We start from the raw sequence: 21,957 nt of genomic DNA on the forward strand, positions 1-21,957 counted from the left end.
ATTAAATAAATGTTCAGAAAGCAGCTGCTTTGCTTTACTCGCTTAGGAAAAAGTCAGTAATGGAAATGCATAGGCCAAGCCAATGGCACATCTTAAAACCCAGTTTTCATTTTCACCCCCAGATCCTGGAAGAAAGCTTCCCATCAAATTCCCTTTTGGTTTCGTCTTTCCCCTTTATTAGGCTGATTTTGTGAAAATCGCTCACCCTGAGCCAGCATTCAGGGAAGTCGCAGAAGAAGCTTGTAGAAGTATTGGCACCATGGTAGAGAAGTATGTGCTGTTCCCCTCCCCACCTCCGTGCCAAGTCCTGGGTGATCCGGTTTCATGGACTTGTGCCGTAGGCAGTTTTGTCCATAGTGCTTGTCCCCCGCCCAGCAGGGTGGGAGGTGTGTGTGACCAGGGGTGGCCGGAGGGAGGTCTCAGGACAGGCCATTGGCTCACCTTGCAGGCAGGCACTGGGCCTCAGGGCTGGTTGTCTGTTCTCTCAGTCATTTCCTTCTCTGTAAATGGGGTCATAAAGTTAACCCTGCCTCAGGGTCCTTGTGAGTGTTAAATGAGATCAATGTAAAGGTGTCACTTGATAATCTGAGATGACAGACACCCAGGATTCTTGTCATCACCATTATCACTTACCTTAAATAAGGGCTTTTTAGTGTCCTAGTGGCAAGTTGGACTTACTAGATTATCGCTTGATTAAATTGCTGTTGCATCAATGGCTGTGGGCCACGGGGCGAGAAGCCAAAACGCTCTATAAACAGTGTCCTTGTGGTCCCTGTTGAGTTGGAATTAGGGGAGTCTAGGGAGGCTGTGAAAGTCTGTGGGAGAGCTGGAGCAGGCTCTGGCTGAGGCTGTGATGGAGTGAATTATTTTAAAGTGATTTTGGGGTAAATGTGAGTGTTTTTAAGCCACTTATAAGAGCTCCATAGTGCTTGTTAAAATAACTGAATGGTGGACAGCGCTGTATTCCAACACACTTAGCTGCATGGCACCATGCCAGGCAGTGTATAGAGCTAGGGAGAGCCCTGGGCTCGCCAGCGTGGATTTACAACAGGGAAAAGGGGGTAACACGATAAGACAATTTCATATGCCAGAAATTGTTGGAGGAGGAGAGTGATGGCTTCTCTGGTTAGACGAGGCTTCCTTGGAAGACCCAACGCTTCAGGATGTGCAGCTGCTGCTTTTCCCCAGGTCGCCAACATTTGTTCACTTTGGCACAATCGTGTGTGACTTTCCCCATAGCCGCTGAAAACCAACTTGCGTAATGGGACAGAACGGGGCCCTGCAGAGTGCAGACACTGGGCATGCTGACAGGGCTGAAAGTGGGGACTCCCTGGGAGAAAGCTTTGCCTCTCGGGGAAAGGCCCCTGGGAAGGAGTCAGCAGTGGGCTGCCTGCTCGAGGCTCTCTGCATGCTGTGTCCTGCCGAATTAGACGTGGGCTGGTCTCATGGACAAGCACTCTTCATTTTGTGGGAGGACAAATACAGACTGAAGTATGGGCTTTATCTCAGGGTCTTCCAACATAAAACATACTACTGGGAGATTTCCTTAAACCTCTGCAGTGGGGGCAGTGCGGGCAGCCTCTGAGCTACTGTTCCTTTGCCATGGAGTGGCTCCGTGGGTGAGCAGGTTGGGAGGAGGTAGGCCTCCACACTCACTCTCTCCCTGACTTCTGGGATCCATGTGTGGGAGTCTGGCCCTTCTTGGTGAGTGTTTTTTGATGGGTAATGACTATCTACGTTTCACTAGCATTCGGGAAGGCCCATGTGAATGGTAACAGAAACCCTTCGATTGATGTAAATCTTCAGTGTTTTTATCTTGAACCAACTGAGGAACAGGAGTATCCTTGAGTCTCTGAGTAGGAACTGGTGGGTGGTTCTTACAAGAAAGAGATGAATCTGAACTATAAGGAAGCTTATAATAGAGTTATTTTCTATTACTTTTTCCTCATCTAGTTTTCTTTTGACATTTTAGACCATTAGGACATCTTGACCAAGCTCTAGGGGAAAGGGGTAGAGAGGAAAAAGAAAAGAGTAAAGCCTCTTGGTACAGACTATGTTTGAAGTTTCGTTCCTCAAACGTGTGAACTTGTGCACGCAATACAGCAAGGGAGACACGGGAATGATAAAGAAGGATAAGACGTGAAAGATACAGTCTAACTGCTAATATTGTTTCGTGTATGTACCTTTTAATAAGAGTAAAGCTTCCCAGCTAAATTGGGTTGGGGCTCTCGGTGGAATTTCCGATATCAGCTAGTACAAGAGAAAGTGGAGCCAGGGGTGGGTGGGCTGGGAATGGCATTCAGCCAGGCTGGGGACTTGCTGGAAAGGCAAATTCTCAGGCTGTATTCCAGGAGTACTCGGGACTGGTCCCAGTGCTGTTTTAACCAACGCTCCAGGTGATTCTGAGCACTCGCTAGTTGGAGAACCACTGGGTTAGGGAGCTAAGGTCTCTCAACGCTGCTTGAGAAGGGCTGCCACAACCGCCAGTGAAGGAGATGGGTTGAGTGATTGCCCAGGGGCACTGGGCTGGTACCAGGAAGGGTGTGGATTTGAGGCCAAGCCTTCCAATTCTAAGTCCAGGGACTTTTATACTCTGCCAAATAATACTAGAAACAAACAAAATCTCCTGTCTCACCCAACCTTTTAAATTTAACATGTGAATTAACTTAGCTCCATAAAAACAATAAACTACACTTGGGTCTTTAATATAGAAAACAGAACAAACTGTTTAACACCCTGAGAAGATTCAGCTTCCTCACTTGGGCTAATATTGTTAATTTAGTTTTGTTGGGGGAATTAGCCACCTCTTGCTTTGATGGGTTCTATTCTTTCTACCCTGCCCTGCCCAGCATGAGGAATAATCTCTAGTCCCGCAGTGGTGTAGAGCTCTGTCTATTCTGGGATGAGACTGGACTTTCTTGTCTTTTGTTCAGGCAGGAGCAATGGCATTGAAAAGTTGAAAGACAAATAAAGTCAGCAGGAGATAGACTTTTGAGATTCTAGCTTTTGAAGCTAAACAGATTGATCTAAGGAATTCAGTCTTTTTCTGATTCTTTGTATTGTTAACATCATCTTTGCCTGCATGTGAGTGACTTCTGGCCACCGAGGGGCTGCACTTCAGCCTGTGGCCATGTGGGAGGCATTTTCTTCCTTTTGGCTGAAGCTTTGGGTAGGATGGGAGTTAGGGAAGGTGGGGAATGGGTGGCACAACCCTCTGCCTGTAGCATTTAACCCACACAGTGGGCTTGGTGACATCCTAGCGATTTGATGTATTCCACCCCTAGAATCCAACCTTTCCTGTCATTACGGCCAGACATTATACACTCAGGGCATAAATATGCTGCACATAGAAGCTATAGGGAAGCAATTGATACTGGGGAGATCCATTCTGTAATAATTGTGACTTGACCAGTTAGAAATATTACCCAGGGGCAAGCATTCTTAGAAATGTTTGACCATTAAGTTTCTTAAACCATTAAGAACCACCACTTTTTCTTAAATTTCTTTCCCCCCAGTATATATTTTAACACCTTTTAAATTCCCATAGAAAGTGCTAATTCCCTTACTATAAATTGTAAGAGAGGTATACGTAGTGGGTGGGAATAGCTGAAATTTGCCAAATTTATCAAATTTGCTGACCCATTTGAAAGGTGTGGCTTAAAGATGTACTTTTCACTCATGACCAGCTCAGTTGAGTTGGGGAGGTTCTGCCTTTCACCATGGACTCCAAGTTCTTCATTTGGGCTGGGCATGGTGGCTCATGCCTGTAATCCAGCACTTTGGGAGGCCAAGACAGGCAGATCACTCAAGCCCAGGAGTTCAAGGCCAGCTTAGGCAACATGGTGAAACCTCCTCTTTATAAAAAATACAAACATTAGCCGGGAGTGGTGGCATGCGACTGTAGTGTGAGCTACTTTGGCTGAGGTGGGAGGATAGCTTGAGCCTGGGAGGTCAAGGTTGCAGTGAGCTGTGATCACGCTACAGCATTCCAGCCTGGGTGACAAAGTGATACTTCGTCTCAAAAAATAAATAAATAAGTTAAAGTCCTTTTTTGATACTCTGCATCCTGACAGCTAATGATAACAGACATAGAGTGTGGATGATAATTCTGTAGGACACTTTAAGGGCATGATCTGGAAGTGGCTGACATCAATTTTGCCCACATTTTATTATGCAGAACTCCTTACATAGCCTCACTTAGATTAGAAAAAGTTAAAAAAAAAAAAAAGTTTTCCTGGTGCCCAGAGGGAAAATGAAATGTTTTGGTGAACACGTAGAATGGTTTCTGCCATAGGTTTTATGACTCATGAATGGTTAGGAAACATTGCCGTGGGCATTCATGTGTGAAAGGATATGTTTTGCAGAGTATCATGATTTAGTTTGTCAGGCCAGCTGGGTCACAGAGGAGTTGTTAGAATGGAGTCAGAGTGGTAGCGTATTTCTCTAAAACAATCTTGAAAGATTCTGATTTCTCTAGGAGATCTCTCCAGCAAGATTTGTGGGGCTTAGCATTCTGTGTTCTCCCAACATCTTTCATCACTAAAACTCTGGAGGAGAAAAAAATATCAGGAAGATTCCAAGTACTTGCCGCTCTCTGGGTGAGAATAACTACCTTGAGGAACATGAAGAAGACATCTTTCGCAGTATTTTTTCTACAGTTTTGGAGGGCAGGGCGTGGGTCTAGAGTTACCTCAAACTTGAAAGTGAGAATTGAACCATGCTTCTGACAGCACCGCCTAAAGGAAGTGAGGTGTTGTAACTTGGTTACTTGGCATTTGGTATTTGTCGCTGTTTGTTCCATAAAAAGTTTTGGAAGTGTTGGTAGATGTAGCTAACATTTGGTCTACTGCTATAAAGGATGTCGAGACCTCCAGTCAGATTTGTGGTTTTCCATTACCTGGGTACCACAGGAAGTCCTCACCTGAGGGGACTACTTACAGGATGACTTTTGTCCTTCACAAGATGCATCCTCACATCCCCTCATTGCCTTCAGCCCACTAGTTAAGGTCCATTATCTGCAAAACCCCAGAGAAGGAAATGAAGTCCCATTGCAAAGGCAGTTGATGAAAGCTCTTCACCAAGTATTTGATGACTGGTTTACTCATCAGGAGTTGAAGGGCCTAATTCTTACCAGGAGAAGTCAGAGAAACACATAGGGGGCAGATCTTGAGAGTTTTGGGTCAGGAGGTTTGGGTATTATACATAAGATTGACTAGGGAAGGTCTACTGACTCTATCCTATAATTCACTGTCCTCAAAAGGACAATTGTGCCTATCCTAATAATGCTGGTCAGAGGTTTCTTGAAGCTTGGATAAGATGACAGCCTTATCATCTTTCCCTGGGGGAAAGATGCCATATTTGCCATGGCATGGTATTGAGGAAGGAGTCAGACAGTCCAGGGAGGTTTTATTATGCAAGACCAGAGACCCTGATCTTGTTCCCTGTGAGGCCAAGAGGACATGCCCTTTATACAAAAACAAGAAACTCACTGGTGAGGGGCCACCAGCATTGTTGGGAATCTCACTAGTGATTGTCTTCCGTGGTCTATGGTTCACAGTAGAAAATGCTGCCACAGAACTGACCTCTCTAATATTACTGAAGATGAAGATATTTTGGAGTAGCAGAGGCCAAGTCGCAGCATTTGCCATCAAAGTGAATATGACTACCACAAAGTGAATATGACTACCATATGGCAGCAAGGCCAACGTGCCAGCCAGGGTCCTGTACACATAGGGCATTTCTAGAAGAAAGATGGGTGAGTACCCACTGTGAATATTTCTTGACTTGTGTAACCAGAAAAAATATTAAGAGAAGGTAAGCTGAAATCTGATGTCTGCTGCCAAAAAGAAAAATGATAATCCCTCACCTAGCTCCCAGATTTGAGTCAGTTCTCGGGCCCCTGGCCTAGTGATTGAAGGGGAGGCCGGGCCCCCTTGAAAAAAAAACCCTGCAGTGCCACAAACCTTCCCCCAAAGGGACCTGTGTAACTTTACACTAAGAAAATGGAAATATACAGATTTTTCAGGGTATACAGGGTCTAACCTTACAATGACATCAGCAGAACCTGAAATGCCACGATGACAGCTAGTTAGAATGGGCTATTATGGAGGCGGGTGATAAATGGAGTTCTTGTCAAGGCAGGCTCAGCAGTGATGATGAGGGTGTTAGGGCTCACCCTGTCTTTGCTTCCTCAGTTCCAGTGTGCTCAATTGGAAAGGATAGACTGAGCAGCTGGTAGAGCCCTCACGTTTTGTTTCCTGACCTGTGAAATAAGAACCAGGAAGGAAGAAACAAATGGAAACCCAGAAAGTGCCCATTCCCACCAAAGATAGAAAATCAAAGCGATACCCTATTCCAGTGGAATGGCTGAGATCGATGCCACTCCCAAGAACTTAGCAAATGCAGGGGTGGTCATCCTCATCATATCCCCATTCAATCCATCTACATGGTCTCTGCAAAAAACAGATGGATTTTCGTGAATAACAGCAGACTACCGGAACGTTATCTAAGTTGCGTCCCAATTGTATGTAGCTACCTAATTGGATGTGGTATCTTTACTGGAACAGAGCAGCACAGCCTTTGGTTCCTGGGTTGTGGCTATCCATCTGGCAAACAAGTCATCTTCCAACCTCCTCAGGAAGGATGGTCAAGATCAGTTCTGTCTCATTAAGAAAGGATTTGAGTACACATTCACTGTCTTTCCCCAAGGCTATATGTATTCTCTTTCTCTCTGTCACCTTGACATATCATGCTGGTATACTATGTTGTTGACATTATGCTAATTGGACTTGGTGAACAGAAAGTGGCCGGTACTCTGGATGTCATAGTAAAACACATGAAGGTGAAACATAAATCATTTACAGTATCAAAGTCCTGCCATATTGATGAAGATTTTAGGAGTCCCATGGTTTGCAGCATCCTAAGGTAAACAATTACCCCTATGAAAAGTTATATGGTTTGGTGGGCGACTTTGGATTTTAGGAGGCAGCCAATATTGCACTTGAGATTATTTCTTTGACTCATTTCTTGGGTCATTAGAAGTCTACCAGTTTTGAGTGGAACCCAAAGCATAAGAAAACTGAAGAAATTCTAGGCTTCAGGACAACATACTCTGCTGTTGAGGCCATATAATTCAACAGATCCAACAGTGCTCGGGGTATCCATGGTAGGAAAGGATGCTATAGGAAATCTTGGACAAACCCTAATAGATTTGCAGTACAGAATGGGTAGGGTTCTGGAGAAAGGCATGTCTACTCCATTCAAGAGACTATTTATTGTTTAATTACTCACTACTCAGAAAAACAGCTTCTGATGTGATAAGGGGTCAAGAGAGATCAAGCACCTGAAAGTGGGACATCAAGTGATTATATGATAGGAGTTTCCTATTACGAGCTGGACATTGTCAGATCCAACAAGGTGGTAAGGTATGATGGAAATGGTATATTCAGGACCAGATCTGAGCAAGTCCAGAGGGTATAGGGTGGCCCAGGGCTCCATGTCACCTACCTCTGCTGTCCTGACATGTCTCTCAGCTCACATCTATAAATATGGGGGCAGGAGTGAGGGAACTCTATGATTCACTGATGAAGGAGGAACAACACAGCTCATTCCTGGTTCATGGATAGATTGGTTCAGATACTCAATGCTGCCTGAGAATGGGCAGCTGTCAACACTACCACCCAACTCAGTGGTGGCCCTAAAGGACAGTGATGAGGGGAAACCCTCCTAGAGGGTAGAGCTGTGAGCAGTATTCTTGTTTGTCCACTTTGTATGCCAGAAGTGGTATGAGATAAGGATATATATGGACTTCCATGTAGTGGCAAATAACTTGGCTGGTCTTGGTCTGGGGTTTAGAAGGGGCAAGTTTAGATGATCAGAGACAAAGTGGTCTGGGAAGAAGCATGTAGATGAACTGTTGAAAGTGGCCACAAAATGTGCAGATCTTTGTGTCTCACATCATTGCCACTAGAGAAGATTTGGCACAGACAGGACACTCACTAAGCAGGTAGACAGAGGAACCGGCTAACTGGCTGGTAGATGTCAGTCATCTCTGTCCCCAGCCACCCCAATTCTTGTACAATAGATCCTTGAGTGGAGAGTGGCCATAGTGACAGGGAAGGCCATTATTCAAGGCCTCATCCGTCATCCAGCATGCACTCCTTTTCACCAAGACAGTTGGTAAATTTATTATTTATTTATTACCAAATAAATAAATGTATTAGATCTAAAAAATCTATTAGATAGATAAATGTATTAGATACAGGATTTTAGAGCTGACAATGTGAGGTATAATATATAAAAGCTTAGAAAAGCGTAGGGAGACATCTGTCTTTTTCCTTTGCATTGACAGCATGTGCTTGCATCAGCTCTGTGTGTGTGTGTGTGTGTGTGTGTGTGTGTGTGTGGACTGTAGAAAGAAATCACTACATCCAGACTGTGCTATAGTATTTTTTCTCTTATTGGTAGGGGCTAAATCAGTCTCCCCTCCCCGTGCAAGAAAGAGATGTTGAAATCTTAACTCTCAGTACCTCAGAACTGACTTCATTAGGAAACAGGATTGTTGCAAATGTATACTTAAATTAAGATGAGGTCATACTGGAGTAGGGTGGGCCCTGGTCTGACATGACTGATGTCCTTACAGAAAGACAGCCACGGGCTGGGCACGGTGGCTCACGCCTGTAATCCCAACACTTTGGGAGGCCAAGGTGAGTGAATCATGAGGTCAGGAGTTTGAGACCAGCCTGGCTAAGATGGTGAAACCCAGTCTCTACTAAAAATACAAAAAAATTAGTTGGGCACGGTGGCAGGCACTTGTAATCCCAGCTACTCGGGAGGCTGAGGCAAGAGAATCACCTGAACCTGGGAGGCAGAGGTTGCAGCAAGCCGAGATTGCACCACTGCACTCTAGCCAGGGCAACAGAGCAAGACTCTGTCTTAAAAAAAACAAAAAACAAACAAAAACAAGAAAAGAAAAGAATGAAAGACAGCCCTGTGAAAACAGAGACACACACAGGGAGAATGCCATGTGACAACAGAGGCAGAGACTGAGGTTATGCAGCTGCAAGCCAAGAAATGCCAAAGATTACCCACAAACCACCAGAAGCTAGCAGAGGCATGGAATCCCCTACAGGTTTCAGAGGGAACATGGTCATGCCAACACCTTGATTTTGGACTTCCAGCCTCCAGAACTGTGAGAAATTAAATTTCTGTTGTTTTAAGCCACCCAATTTGAAGTACTTTCATTATGGCAACCCTAAGAAGCTAATACATTTATATAAAATATTTCACACTATTCTTTCTTTCCAACATTATTGAGGTATAGTTGACAATTAAAAATTGTATATATTTAAGGTGTACAATTCAGTGATTCAATATATGTGTATGTTGTAAACTGTCCACAACAATCAAGCAAATTAATGCGTTCATCACCTCACATCATTATCATTTTTTGATTTGGTGAGAACACTTAACAGCTAACTTCTTGGCAAATTTCAAGTCTGCAATATTATTAACTGTAGTCACATTGTTGTACGTAGTTCTCCAGACCTTATTTACCTTACATAACAGACCTCGCTCATACCCTTTGACCAACATCTTCCCATATCCCTCCCCACTCAGCCTCTGGTAACGACTATTCTACTCTCTGTTTCTATGAGTTTGACATTTTTGGATTTCAGGTTTATGTTGTCACAAGTAACAGAATTTCCTTCTTTTTAAAGGCTGAATAATATTTCATTGCATATGTATATGCAACATTTTCTTTATCCATTCATCTGTCAATGGACATTTAGGTGATTTCTGTATCTTGGCTATGGTGAATAATGCTGCAAGGAACAGATATCTCTTTAAGATACTGATTTCATTTCCTTTGGATATAGACCTCACAATGGGATTGCTGATCACATGGTGGTTCTATTTTTCCTTTTTTTTTGAGAAACTTCCATATTGTTTTCCATGATGCCTCTACCAATTTACATTCCCATCGACCATGGACAAGGGTTTTCTTTGCTCCACATCTTCACCAATATTTGTTATCTCTTGTCTTTCTGATAATAGCCATCCTAACAGGTGTGAAGTGACATCTCATAGTGGTTTTGATTATCACTTCCCTGATGATTAGTGATGTTGAACATCTTTTCATGTACCTGTTAGTTATTTGTATGTCTTGTTGGGAAAAATGTCTGCTCAACTCCTCTGTCTACTTTTTAATCAAGTTTTATTTTTTTCTTTTGAGTTGTACTAGTTACTCATATATTGTGGATATTAATGTGTATGGCTTGCAAATATTTTCTCCCATTCTGTAGGTTGCTTTTTGTTGCTGTTGATTGTTTTGCTGTGCAGAAACTTTTTAGTTTGATGTCTCACTTGTTCCTTTGTGCTTTTGGTTTCATATCCAAACTGTCATTGCCAAGACCAGTGTTATGAAGCTTTTCCCCTATATTTTCTTCTGGGAGTTTTTACAGTTTCAGGGCTATGTTTCAGTCTCTTTGAGTTCATCTTTGTGTATGGTGTAAGATAAAGATACAGTTTCATTTTCTTGCCTGGGGATATCCAGTTTTCTCAACACCACTTATTGAAGAGACTTTTCCCCATTATATATTCTTGGCACTTTTGTTGAAGATTTGTTGACCACATGTGTGAGTTATTTCTGGGCTTTCTGTTCTTTTCCATTGTTCTATGTGTCTGTTTTTATGCCAGTACATGTTATTTTGGTTACTATAACTTTGTAATATATTTTGAAATCAGAGCGGGTAATGCCTCCAGCTTTGTTCTTCTTGCTCAAGATTGCTTTGGCTACTTGGGTGTTTTGTAGTTCCATATGATTTTTTTTTTTTTTTTTTTTTTTTTGACAGAGTCTTGCTCTGTGGCCCAGGCTGGAGTGCAGTCCAGCAATCTCGGCTCACAGCAACCTCTGCCTCCCAGGTTCAAGTGATTCTCCTGCCTCAGCCCCCCAAGTAGTTGGGATTACAGGCATCTGCCACCATGCCCAGCTAACTTTTCTATTTTTAGCAGAGGTGGGGTTTTACCATGTTTGCCAGGCTGGTCTCAAACTCCTGACCTCAAGTGAGCCACCCACTTTGGCCTCCCAAAATGCTGGAATTAGAGGTGAGAGCCACTGTACCTGGCTGCATATGAATTTTAGAGTAGTTTTTTCTATTTCTGTAAAGGACATCATTGGGATTTTGATAGGGATTGCTTTGCATCTGTAAATCAGTTTGGGTAGTTTAGACATTTCAACAATATTAATTATTTCAGTCAACATGGGTATCTTTCCACTTATCTGTATCTTCTTTAACTTCCTTCATTGTTGTTACAATTTCCGTGTACAAGTGTTTCATCTCTTTGGTTAAATTTATTTTTAAGTATTCTCATCTTTTTTGTGAATGGGATTATTTTCTTGATTTCCTTGTCAGCTAACTGTTTATGTATAGAAATGCACCTGATTTGCATATATTGATTTTATATCCTGCAACTTTACTGAATGTATTTATTAGCTGTAACAGTTTTTGGTTGAGTCTTTAGGGGGTTCTATGTATATAACCATATCATCCATTTCAAATAGGGATAATTTTACTTCTTCCTTTCCAACTTGGATGTCTTTCTTTTTCTTGTCTCATTGTTCTGGCTATGATTTCTAGCACTATGTTGAATAGAAGTGGTGAGCGTGGACATCCTTGCCTTGTGCCAGATCTTAGAGGGAAAGCTTTCAGTTTTTCCCCATTGATTTTGACGTTAGCTGCTATCACACTATTTTTTAATGTTCACCTCTGGTTCCCCTTTGTCACAGAACCTTCCCAAATGACCCATACAGCAGGCCCCTTTTTCTGAATGTCCATAAAATTCATCTTCTGTAACCTTCATTTGACACATCTTTTACGTCATCCTGTATTGTTCCTAAGTCAAATGTGAAGTCTGAAAGGTGTGAACCACATCTCGCCATCTGGGAGTAGACAGCATGAGCAGAGGAGAAAGACAGGGTCAGAAGCCAAAAGGCTGATGAGTTAATGGGTGCAGCACACCAACATGGCACATGTATACATATGCCATACAAACCTGCACGTTGTGCACATGTACCCTAAAACTTAAAGTATAATAATAATAAAATAAAAGAAAAATACGGAAAAAAAAAAAAGAAGCCAAAAGGCTGCACTTCAGTCCCACCCAACTGGGAGACATCAGGCAAGTTCCTGAACTTCCATGACCTTCATTTTCTCCACAAAATGGGGTAAATCCACAACTCTAAACCTAGCCATTATAAAAATAAAAAGCAACATAACAGTAAAAACAACTCAATTAAAAATGGACAAAGAACTTAAATAGACATCTCTCCAAAGATGATATACAAATGGCCGATAAGCACATGAAAAGATGCTCAACATCGCCAATCATTAGGGAAATGCAAATGAAAACTACAATGAGATACCTTTTCACACCCATTAGAATGACTATTATGGAAAAAAAAAGAACCAGAAAGAAAACCCAGAAAATAACAAGTGTGGACAAGGACGTGGAGAAATTGGAACACTTTCACATTGCTGGTGGGTATGTAAAATAGTAAAATGATGAAGCTACTGTAGAAAAAAAGTTACAGCAATTCCTCAAAAAAATTAAACATGGAATTACTGTATGATCCAGCAGTCCCACTTCTGGAAATTATCTCCCGAAATTGAAAGCAGGATCTCAGGCAGATCCTTTTACACTCATGTTCATAGTAGCAGTATTCACAATAGGCAAAAGATGGAAGCAACCCAAGTGTTCATCAACCGATGATGAATAAACAAAATGTGGCCTAGCCATAGAATGGAATATTACTGAGCCTTTAAAGGGAAGGAAATTCCAACACATACTATACCACACGGATGGCCCTTGAGAACATTATGCTCGGTGAAATAAGCCCGTCACAAAAGGACAAACGCAGGCGATGGCTGGGGAGGCGGGGCGGGAGAGGTGGGGGAGTGGGTGGCAGCCGCCGCGCTGGGAGCCGAGCAGAGCCGCGCCGATCGCCATCCGGCCTGGGCACTCGCGCGCGATCCCGGCCGGCAGCGCGGCCCATGGAGCTCGAGAACATCGTAGCGGACACGGTGCTCCTCAAGGCCCGGGAAGGTAGCGGTGGAAATCGCAAAGGCAAAAGCAAGAAATGGCGGCAGATGCTCCAGTTCCCCCACATCAGCCAGTGCGAAGAGCTGCGGCTCAGTCTCGAACGTGACTATCACAGCCTGTGCGAGCGGCAGCCCATCGGGCGCCTGCTGTTCTGAGAGTTCTGTGCCACCAGGCCGGAGCTGAGCCGTTGCATCGCCTTCCAGGATGGGATGGCCGAGTATGAAGCGACCCCGGATGAGAAGCGGAAGGCATGTGGGCGGCGGCTAATGCAGAATTTTCTTGAGCCACAGGTTCCTGACCTCATCCCTGAGGTCCCCCCGGCAGCTGGTGACGAACTGCACCCAGCGGCTGGAGCAGGGGCCCTGCAAAGAACTCTCCCAGGAACTCACCCGGGTGACCCACGGGTACCTGAGCATGGCCCCTTTTGCCGACTACCTCAACAGCATCTACTTCAACCGTTTCCTGCAGTGGAAGTGGCTGGAAAGGCAGCCAGTGACCAAAAATACCTTCAGGCAGTACCGAGTCCTGGGCAAAGGTGGCTTTGGGGAGGTGTGCGCCTGCCAGGTGCGGGCCACAGGCAAGATGTACGCCTTCAAGAAGCTAGAAAAAAAGCGGATCAAGAAGCAGAAAGGGGAGGCCATGGCGCTGAACGAGAAGCAGATCCTGGAGAGAGTGAACAGTAGGTTTATAGTGAGCTTGGCCTACACCTGTGAGACCAAGGAGGCGCTGTGCCTGGTGCTGACGCTGATGAACGGGGGCGACCTCAATTTCCACATCTGCCACATGGGCCGGGCTGGCTTCCCCGAAGCGCAGGCCGTCTTCTACGTCCCGAGATCTGCTTGCGGTCTGGAGGACCTGCACCGGGAGCGCATAGTGTACAGGGACCTGAAGCCAGGAACATCTTGCTGGATGACCACGGCCACATCCTCGTCTCCGACCTGGGACTGGCTGTGCACGTGCCCGAGGGCCAGACCATCAAAGGCCGTGTGGGCACCGTGAGCTACATGGCTCCAGAGGTGGTGAAGAATGAACCGTACACTTTCAGCTCTGACTGTTGGGCGCTAGGCTGCCTCCCGCAGGAGATGATTGCAGGCCAGTCGCTCTTCCAGCAGAGGAAGAAGATGATCAAGCGGGAGGAGGTGGAGCGGCTGGTGAAGGAGGACCCCGAGGAGTATTCCGAGCGCTTTTCCCCGCAGGCCTGCTCACAGCTCCTCTGCAAGGACCCCGCTGAACGCCTGGGGTGTCGTGGGGGCAGTGCCCGCGAAGTGAAGGAGCACCCCCTGTTGAAGAAGCTGAACTTCAAGCGGGTGGGAGCCGGCATGCTGGAGCCGCCCTTCAAGCCTGACCCTCGGGCCATTTACTGCAAGGATATTCTGGACATTAAACAGTTCTCTAGGGTCAAGGGTGTGGAGCTGGAGGCTACCGACCAAGACTTCTACCAGAAGTTTGCCACAGGCAGTGTGCCCATCCCCTGGCAGAAGGGGATGGTGGAGACTGAGTGCTTCCAGGAGCTGAATGTCTTTGGGCTGGATGGCTCAGTTCCCCCAGACCTGGACTGGAAGGGCCAGCCACCTGCAAGGGACTGCTGCAGAGACTCTTCAGTCGCCAAAGGATTGCTGTGGAAACTGCGGGGACAGCGAGGAAGAGCTCCCTACCCGCCTCTAGCCCCCAGCCAGAGGCCCCCACGGGCAGTGGGCGGTAGTAGCTACTCCGAGTGCCTTTTACAGTTTTGCACAGTGGACTTCCCCATTGTCCACTCAAGTTGTGGCCTGGGGAACACAGACGGAACTGTCCCCAGTGTCCTCTGCCCCCTCAGCCCCTGGCCTGCCTGAGTTTGGCAGGGCCTGGGCCATCCCTGGGACAAAGGTGCGTCCCTTCAGCTCTTCTCCGTGGAGCTCGGGGCTTTCTGTATTTATGTATTTGTACCAATGTATATAGTGACCAGGGCATTCTTAGTTCCTGCCACAGACCTGGCGCCCCCTCCTTGGCTCCTGGGGGCAGCCAGCCCTGGCTGGGAGAGCGGGAGCTGGCAGAGGAGCCACTGCCAAACTTAAGGCTCCTCCGACCCAGCTTGGATGGCTGAGGATCACACCCCTGAGCCTTCAGCACGGTGCTGACCACCCCTAGCCTCTGAGTAAGACTTGTGCCTGCCCCTGCTGCCCTGGACTCAGGCTTCTGCCCTCTGGGGACTAAAGCTGTCCCTTCTCAGTACTTGTCAGAGCTGGATCTGGGGCCTGTATATCCCCTAGGCCTGTGCCAAAGTGGCCAGAGATTGGGCCGGCTGTGAGACCCATCAGCCCACTGCCCCGGCCGGCCCAGATAGGTCTGCCTCTACCTTCCAGCTCCCAGGGCCTGGTCCCTGATGCTTTCAGGGACGTTTCAGAAACGCCCGAGCCCAGCCCCTAGGAGGGGGTGGGGCATCCCTGGCCAACCCTCAAACATTCCCAACTCCTCTCATAACACTAGACACATGTGCCCAGCAAAAAAAAAAAGGACAAATGCTTCGTGATTTCACTTATATGAGGCACCTAAAGTAGTGAAATTCATAGAGACAGAAAGTAGAATGTTGGTTGTCGGGAGCTGGGGGCAGTGGGGAATAGGGAGATATTGTTTAATGAGGGCAGAGTTTCAGTTGGGGAAGATAAAAATGTTCTGAAGATGGATGGTGTGGATGGTGGTGATGGCTGTGCCATACATAATGTGAAAGTACTTAATGTTCTTGAACTGTGCACTTAAAATGGTTAAATGGTAAATTTTATGTTATGTATATTTTGCTGCAAAAACCCACTTATACAATATAAGGTGACATTATTCCTGATATTTTCTTACCTCTCCCCCTCATACACCCACCCCTACTGCTGTGCATATTCCAGATTTTGATAAACACTTGCTAAACCAATGCTGTCCTCACAGAACATACCCTCCTCTCCTCTTCCTCCCCTGCCCATCTGCATAGACGTGTAGTTGGCCAGCTTACCTGAATAGATCTTTTAAATCAAACCAGTCTAAATATTTGTAATGTGACAAAACATAAAAAGGGATGGAGAAAGCGAGGGAGAGACGGGTGTGCCTCATGCATTCATGGATTTGTATTTATACTCCAATGATCTTGTTATTTTTAAAGTCTGCTAAAGCTGGTTCCACCTGCAGGTTTCTTTTGGTGTCCTAAATCTGTGTGTGCATTCTCCACATGCTTGGAGTCAGCGTACATGAGCTGTTTGTCCCCCAGCTGGCTTTTTGCAGTGGAAGAGGCGCAAACAGAATCCGCAGCACGTAGGACAGGGAGCCTGAAATCCCACGCCGCACAGCACTCAGTGTGTGCAGGAGCTGAGGGAAGCAATAAGACCTAATAACCTCATCCATTCTCCTAATTGCTTTCTTCTCCTCACAGAGGAGCCACATCAGCAGCTCTGGTGACCCTCAGGGAAATCTCTGCTTGTTATGAGGTTGGTGGGCCATCCTTTCATCACTGTGAAATGCTGGCAGTTTGTGTCAACAAATCGAATTTCAGTCAATCAATAGGCACCCCGCCTCTCAGCTTGGCAGAGCTGCACAGCTGGCCTTCCTTCCCTCCCATCTGCTGCCCATGCCCTGGAGCCCTGGCAGCAAGAACCACTGCTGCCCGTGGCGTGGGAGAATGCCCAGGCAGCCAGGTCAGACTGGATGTGGCAGACAGCAATTGACAAGGCTGGTTCCACCACCAGAGAGTCACAGCCCACTGGAAACACACCATGTTGTACAGGGTGGAAGCGCCAGCTTTGTGCAGATGGACTTGGGTACAGGTCTGATTCTGCCACTTTGGGCTGTATGGCCTTGAACTTCAAGGCAAGTTCTTCACCTCTTTGAACTCTACCTTCCTTAGTTATAAAGCGGGGATGCTACTGCTGCCTGCTGCAGGATTGTTAGGAAAAGTGTTATAATGCATGCAAAGTGCTTTGTCCAGTCCCTGGCACACAGTAGAGAGAGAGAGAGAGAGAGAGTGTGTGTGTGTGTATGTCACTGTGATCTGCCAAGTCTTACAAGCCAAATAGGGCAATAAATGGCAACTACTGCGGATTTTACAATCATCATTAGCATCATCATCATTATTATTGTCATGTTGAGTGTTGCACAGAAAACAGCCTAGAACCAGCCTACGTGGTTCTATCAATGCAGGATGAGAATATTCAGCCTCCAGTTCATGAAGGTTCACTAAGCAGAGATGTACACTGGATGATCACCAGCGTGTACAAAAAATAAATACTATAGTATCTTCATCAGAGGGCTGCCATTGGCCTCAGGAGGGCATTCCCAGGTAGAAGTGCCTCAGGAGGTTTGTTCTGTTGCCTGGCCCAACATCCTATAGGGAAGGAGCCCAATAGTGGCTCCTTGAAATTTCTGCATTCTCTGGAAGCCAGAAAAAGCAAAGACCTCCTGGCAATTGAGTTCTCTTGCTTGTAGGGGAGATCACAGCTTCGTAGATAGACGGCTGTTTCCCTTTGGGTGATAGAGGTCCCTGCTGGGCAACAAAGAATTAAACACAAATCTATTTCTTGCCAGTAGTTGTCACACCTAATAGATTGGGATGAGATACCACTGCATTAGTGTGTGAATTTCCCCAGATGAAGGCAGCAGCAAAGCCCTTTAGAACAAGCCACAGAAGGACAGAAACAAACTAATCAGGGAATGCACAGCTTCACACAAGATCCAGGGGCTTCTGACATGGGAGGAACACAAAAGTTTTAACTAACCAAGGATGCAAACATTCCCCCAGCAAGAAATGGTTAGAAGTATCTTGGAGTGCATTTTGTGGTCGCTGTTACTGCTGCTGCTGTTTTGTATAATAGGGAAGGAAAAGAGAATAATTAGAGGTGAGATTTTCAGACACAGAATGCCCTAGTATTTATTGAGTTTCCACTCTGAGGCAGGCACTGTGAGAAGCCCTTCCACATTTATTATTTCATTGCATTTGTCATAATAACCCTGCATGGCAGGAATATTTACCCTTTTTGTCCAATGTGGATGCTGAGGCCCAGATAGAACCCAAAAAGCTCTGGGACCTGGCATAGACCAGGTGCTAGGTAACAAGAGATTGGCAGAGCCTTGCCCAGGGTCACAAATCAAGAGGAGAGATTCAAATGCAGATCCTAAAACTCCAGACCACCCCTCTTTTCTCTCTCCCTACCTGCTTGCTCAGTGCAGGAGACTGGGAGGGCCCTGAGCCAGGATGGGTTTAGACTCATGGAAGAAAATTCCATGGGGGAAAAATGTTTTTTCCATGAGAATCTGCTCTCATATAGCAGCCACACTTCTCCATACAGCCCAGAGACAGATCCTTCTAACATTCAAGCTAGTCTTAGGTCTTTGGGGGAGAGATTCAAAGATTCTGAATTAAAAAAAAAAATTAGACCCCCAGAACAGTAGAATACGATTCATGTCTGTTATGAATTACAGTTGGGTCTTTATCGTGCAGCAAGGGGTCCTCAATGGTGCCTACATCCTTTCTGAAATTGATCTTATTGGGATAACATGGCCAAAAAGGAAAACAAAAGCAAATAGTCATGCGTGTTTGGAAGATCTAGGACCGAGACATGCAAGTGTGATGGGAAGGTTCACTGCTCTTGGAAATTTAATTGCTGGATGGAAACAGACATAGAAATCTGGATTCCAACCAGACTTGAGCTCCATGCTAGCATATCAGACTGCCTGCTGGAATCCCTGTGTGGATGTCTCAAAGGCAGATAAAACTCAACATGCCTAAAAGCAAATGAATTGTTTCATGCTGCACCAGGCTCACCACCACAAAAGGGGAAATCAGCTGCATTCTCGACTTTAGTTGGTGACATCATCATCCCCCTAAGCCTCTCAAATGAGACACTTGGGATTTTCCCTCGGTTTTCCCTCTTCCTTATTCCTCCTGCCAATGTGCTGTTCAGTTCTCCTCTTCCCACCATCCACTGTCCCTTTGTATCTATCTTCTACCTATCTTTATACATCAACCCTTAACCGGACTCTCTGATTGCAATCTCACTCTCCTCTACCCATCACTGGTTTCAGAGAGATTTTTCTGAAATCCAAATTTGACCTTGGCACTCCTTGCTTACCACCTTCAATCACCCACCAGCATTGATGTGAAGGTTTTTTTTATGTGATTAACATTTAAATCAGTAAACTTTGAGTAAAGCAAATGACCCTTCATAATGTGGGTGGGCCTCATTCAATCAGTAAAAGGCTTTAAGAGAAAAGACTGAGGTCCCCTGAAGAAGTGGGAATTCTGCCTCCAAATTGCCTTCAGACTTGAGCTGCAACATCAGCTCTTCTGTGGGTCTGCAGATTTTGAACTTGCCAGCCCCACAATCACATGATCCACTTTCTTAACTCTCTCTCTCTCTGTGTATCTGTGTGTGTGTGTATGTGTATACATAGCATATACATAACATATACATACATAAACATATGTATTTCCTGTTGGTCCTGCTTCTTTGACTAGCCTTGACTAACAGAACCATCAGACCCAGGCTACTCCATCCTGTGGCTCCACAATCCATAATATGTTAACTCTGGGTCAGAGCTGGCTGCTTGGGCACCAGACATGGTAGCTCCATTCCAGACAGCTGGAGAGAGGAAGGGACCTAAAAAGACATATTCCCTTATTTTAGGGACACTTCCTGGAAGTAGAACATGACCATCCCATTGGCCAGAACTTAGTCACATCTAGTTGCAAGGGAATTGGGAACATAGTCATGATTCCAGAACCATGCGCCCAGCTAAAAATCAGGAGGTTTTATATCATGGTAGAAAGGGGGAACAGACATGGCGCTACAGCAGGAGACAGTATCTGCTACAAATACCAAACGAAGGGCGCTGGCAATGAGCATTTTAGAGGTTAAGGGGAGATTTAATGCGGGCAGGGTCCGGCAGAGAGGGGCTGCACAGTGCAAGGGGACCGGGGCTGACTTTGAAGGAAGGGCTACTCCGCCCAATTACGAGAACACGTGAGCACCCTTGCCCCAGAGTGAGCATCAACACCGTGATCACGGTTATCACGTGGGAGGTCTGCCCAGGATCCCGGCAGTGAGGCTGCCCTGGAGGCAGGCTTGCTCCGCCACAGGCGCGCAGGCAACAGCAGCGGAGCCGAGAATGGCGAGGCCAGCGGGCGACCAGGCCTCCGGCCAAGGGCACGCGACCCCCCGCGCTTCCCGAGTGCTCCCCTGAAGCCTGGTACGCGTGGGCACCGGCGCACGGCGGTGCCCCGGAAACGCAGCCATCGCCTCAGGGCAGCCACTCACCGATGCGGTAATGCCCCAACGGGGCGTTTCATTGGCCAGCTCTCTTTCAGGCTCCAACTATTTCTTAGATTTTTTTTAAGGAATTGCAAATAGGCCTAAACAAAATCCAGATGCGAGGGAAGGGATGCCTGAACACAGATGGGTGGGAGAACACGCCCCGAGGTGCTGCTTTGGCAGAGAAGCCCTGTCTGCGAGCCCCGAGGCGGAGATGGCTCCCCAAGCCTGATGCAGACAAGAGAGCCCGCCCCTCCCCTGTCCCGCACCTGCTGAACTTTGGGGTCAGCAGAGGAATGTCCCCCGCTGTTAATGTTTTGTTTTTACTGTTTTACAATTCACATTTCGTGCTGCAGGGTGTACCGTGAAGCTACAACAGGGACAGACAGGTTTGTAGGAAGCGGCATTTCCCAAAAGCAACCTCTGAACCTTTTATTCCCGGAGCACATCACAGGTCCAGCGTTCCATAGAACACACCCTAGAAAAACGCTCCTGTGGAGGATCCGTCCCGCCAGGATCCCCAGCTGGTCAGGAATGCTGGGAGGGCCTCCTCACTCGGGCTATTCTCCCTCCCACACATTCATCTGAGGGGACAGGCTCTGGTTAGTTAGAAAATTGTAACATAGCAAGGTAGGAGCAGCAGCCCCTTGTCACCTTAGGCTCCAACTGAGGGTGGGAGGTGGGAGGTGGGGTTGGGCGGTTTGGGGATGGGAAACCTGGCTCTGCCTCCCTTCCTCCCATTTGCACCACAGAGCTGGATCCCAGGTGGCCAGATCCCCTGCAACCGACAATGATTGAGGACCTTCTCAGCGCCAGCTCTTTAGGTGCTGGAGACATATTCTGCACTGAAGGTGCTCCCTGAAAGGACTAAGAAACAGAGAAAGAAGCAGGTCATTGCAATACAGTGTGCTGGGTACAAGAGTCGAGGCGTAATGTCAGATATGAGAGTGACTCAAGGGAATGATCTTGTTTGGGGGAGGTGGGCAAGCAGGAGGAGCTGTGGCAGAAGGCGATCAGAGAGGATAAAGACAAAGGTATGTGTTCGAGATTGTCAAATGAAAGCCATGCACAGTCCAGGGGCTTCAGGAATATTCTCATCTCAGGGAATCGGATCTGGAATCTGGGAATCAGGCTCTTGTTCTCCTGGGATAAGAGCGAGCCTGGGAGTAAAATGAATCACCAGTGCTCCTGGAGAGGCGTGGGAATCCTGGGCTGGTGCAGGCCCTCCCTGCTATTAATACTGCAGCTCCCAGATTCTGCTTGAAACCATAGAGAGAGCTTTGGTCAGAGGCCAGCAAGCCCCTCAGCCCCAAGCAGGAGTAGGCAAAATGCATGGTAGTGGCCCAGGAGCCTGGGGTGTCAGTGGTGCGGTAGTGTCTTTGTAGTGGTGGCACAGGGCTGAAGTGGTAAGAGGCTGGGAACAAGATGAAGCAGACAAGGTGAAAGGGGATGAAACAGGAGGAAAAGAGAGAGAAGGAGAGGGCAGTCTGCTGCAGTCCCAGTGCCCTGGGGATCAGTAACTTTGCATCCTGGCCCTAGCCCCACTTATTACTGCCTGTGTGACGTTGGGCCAGTCATCTGTGCTCTGGGCCAG

The 21,957-nt window shown here is 46.5% G+C and overlaps 1 long non-coding RNA gene and 2 pseudogenes across 5 annotated transcripts in view; 2 read left to right on the forward strand and 1 right to left on the reverse strand.

The window, feature by feature from the left end:
* MIPEPP3 (mitochondrial intermediate peptidase pseudogene 3) overlaps positions 1-21,957 on the forward strand; it is a 94,799-nt pseudogene that overhangs the window by 7,979 nt on the left and 64,863 nt on the right. The gene's annotated exons all lie outside the window — the stretch shown is intronic.
* LINC00539 (long intergenic non-protein coding RNA 539) overlaps positions 1-21,957 on the reverse strand; it is a 41,348-nt gene that overhangs the window by 2,592 nt on the left and 16,799 nt on the right. Inside the window, exons 3-5 of one of the 2 annotated variants that reach the window (NR_103840.1) lie at positions 6,349-6,452; positions 6,048-6,262; positions 4,939-5,015 (exon numbers count right to left, since the gene is read on the reverse strand). The exons of the other annotated variant lie outside the window; for it this stretch is intronic. This is a non-coding gene — a long non-coding RNA (long intergenic non-protein coding RNA 539). The remainder of the gene's footprint in view (positions 1-4,938; positions 5,016-6,047; positions 6,263-6,348; positions 6,453-21,957) is intronic. 2 annotated transcript variants of the gene reach the window in all.
* GRK6P1 (G protein-coupled receptor kinase 6 pseudogene 1) lies at positions 12,933-16,000 on the forward strand (annotated as a pseudogene). The gene has a single exon (NR_144554.1). The product of NR_144554.1 is annotated as a G protein-coupled receptor kinase 6 pseudogene 1 (transcript).

The sequence above is a fragment of the Homo sapiens genome, chromosome 13 (assembly GCF_000001405.40).
Source record: "Homo sapiens chromosome 13, GRCh38.p14 Primary Assembly".
Taxonomy (NCBI): Eukaryota; Metazoa; Chordata; class Mammalia; order Primates; family Hominidae; genus Homo; species Homo sapiens.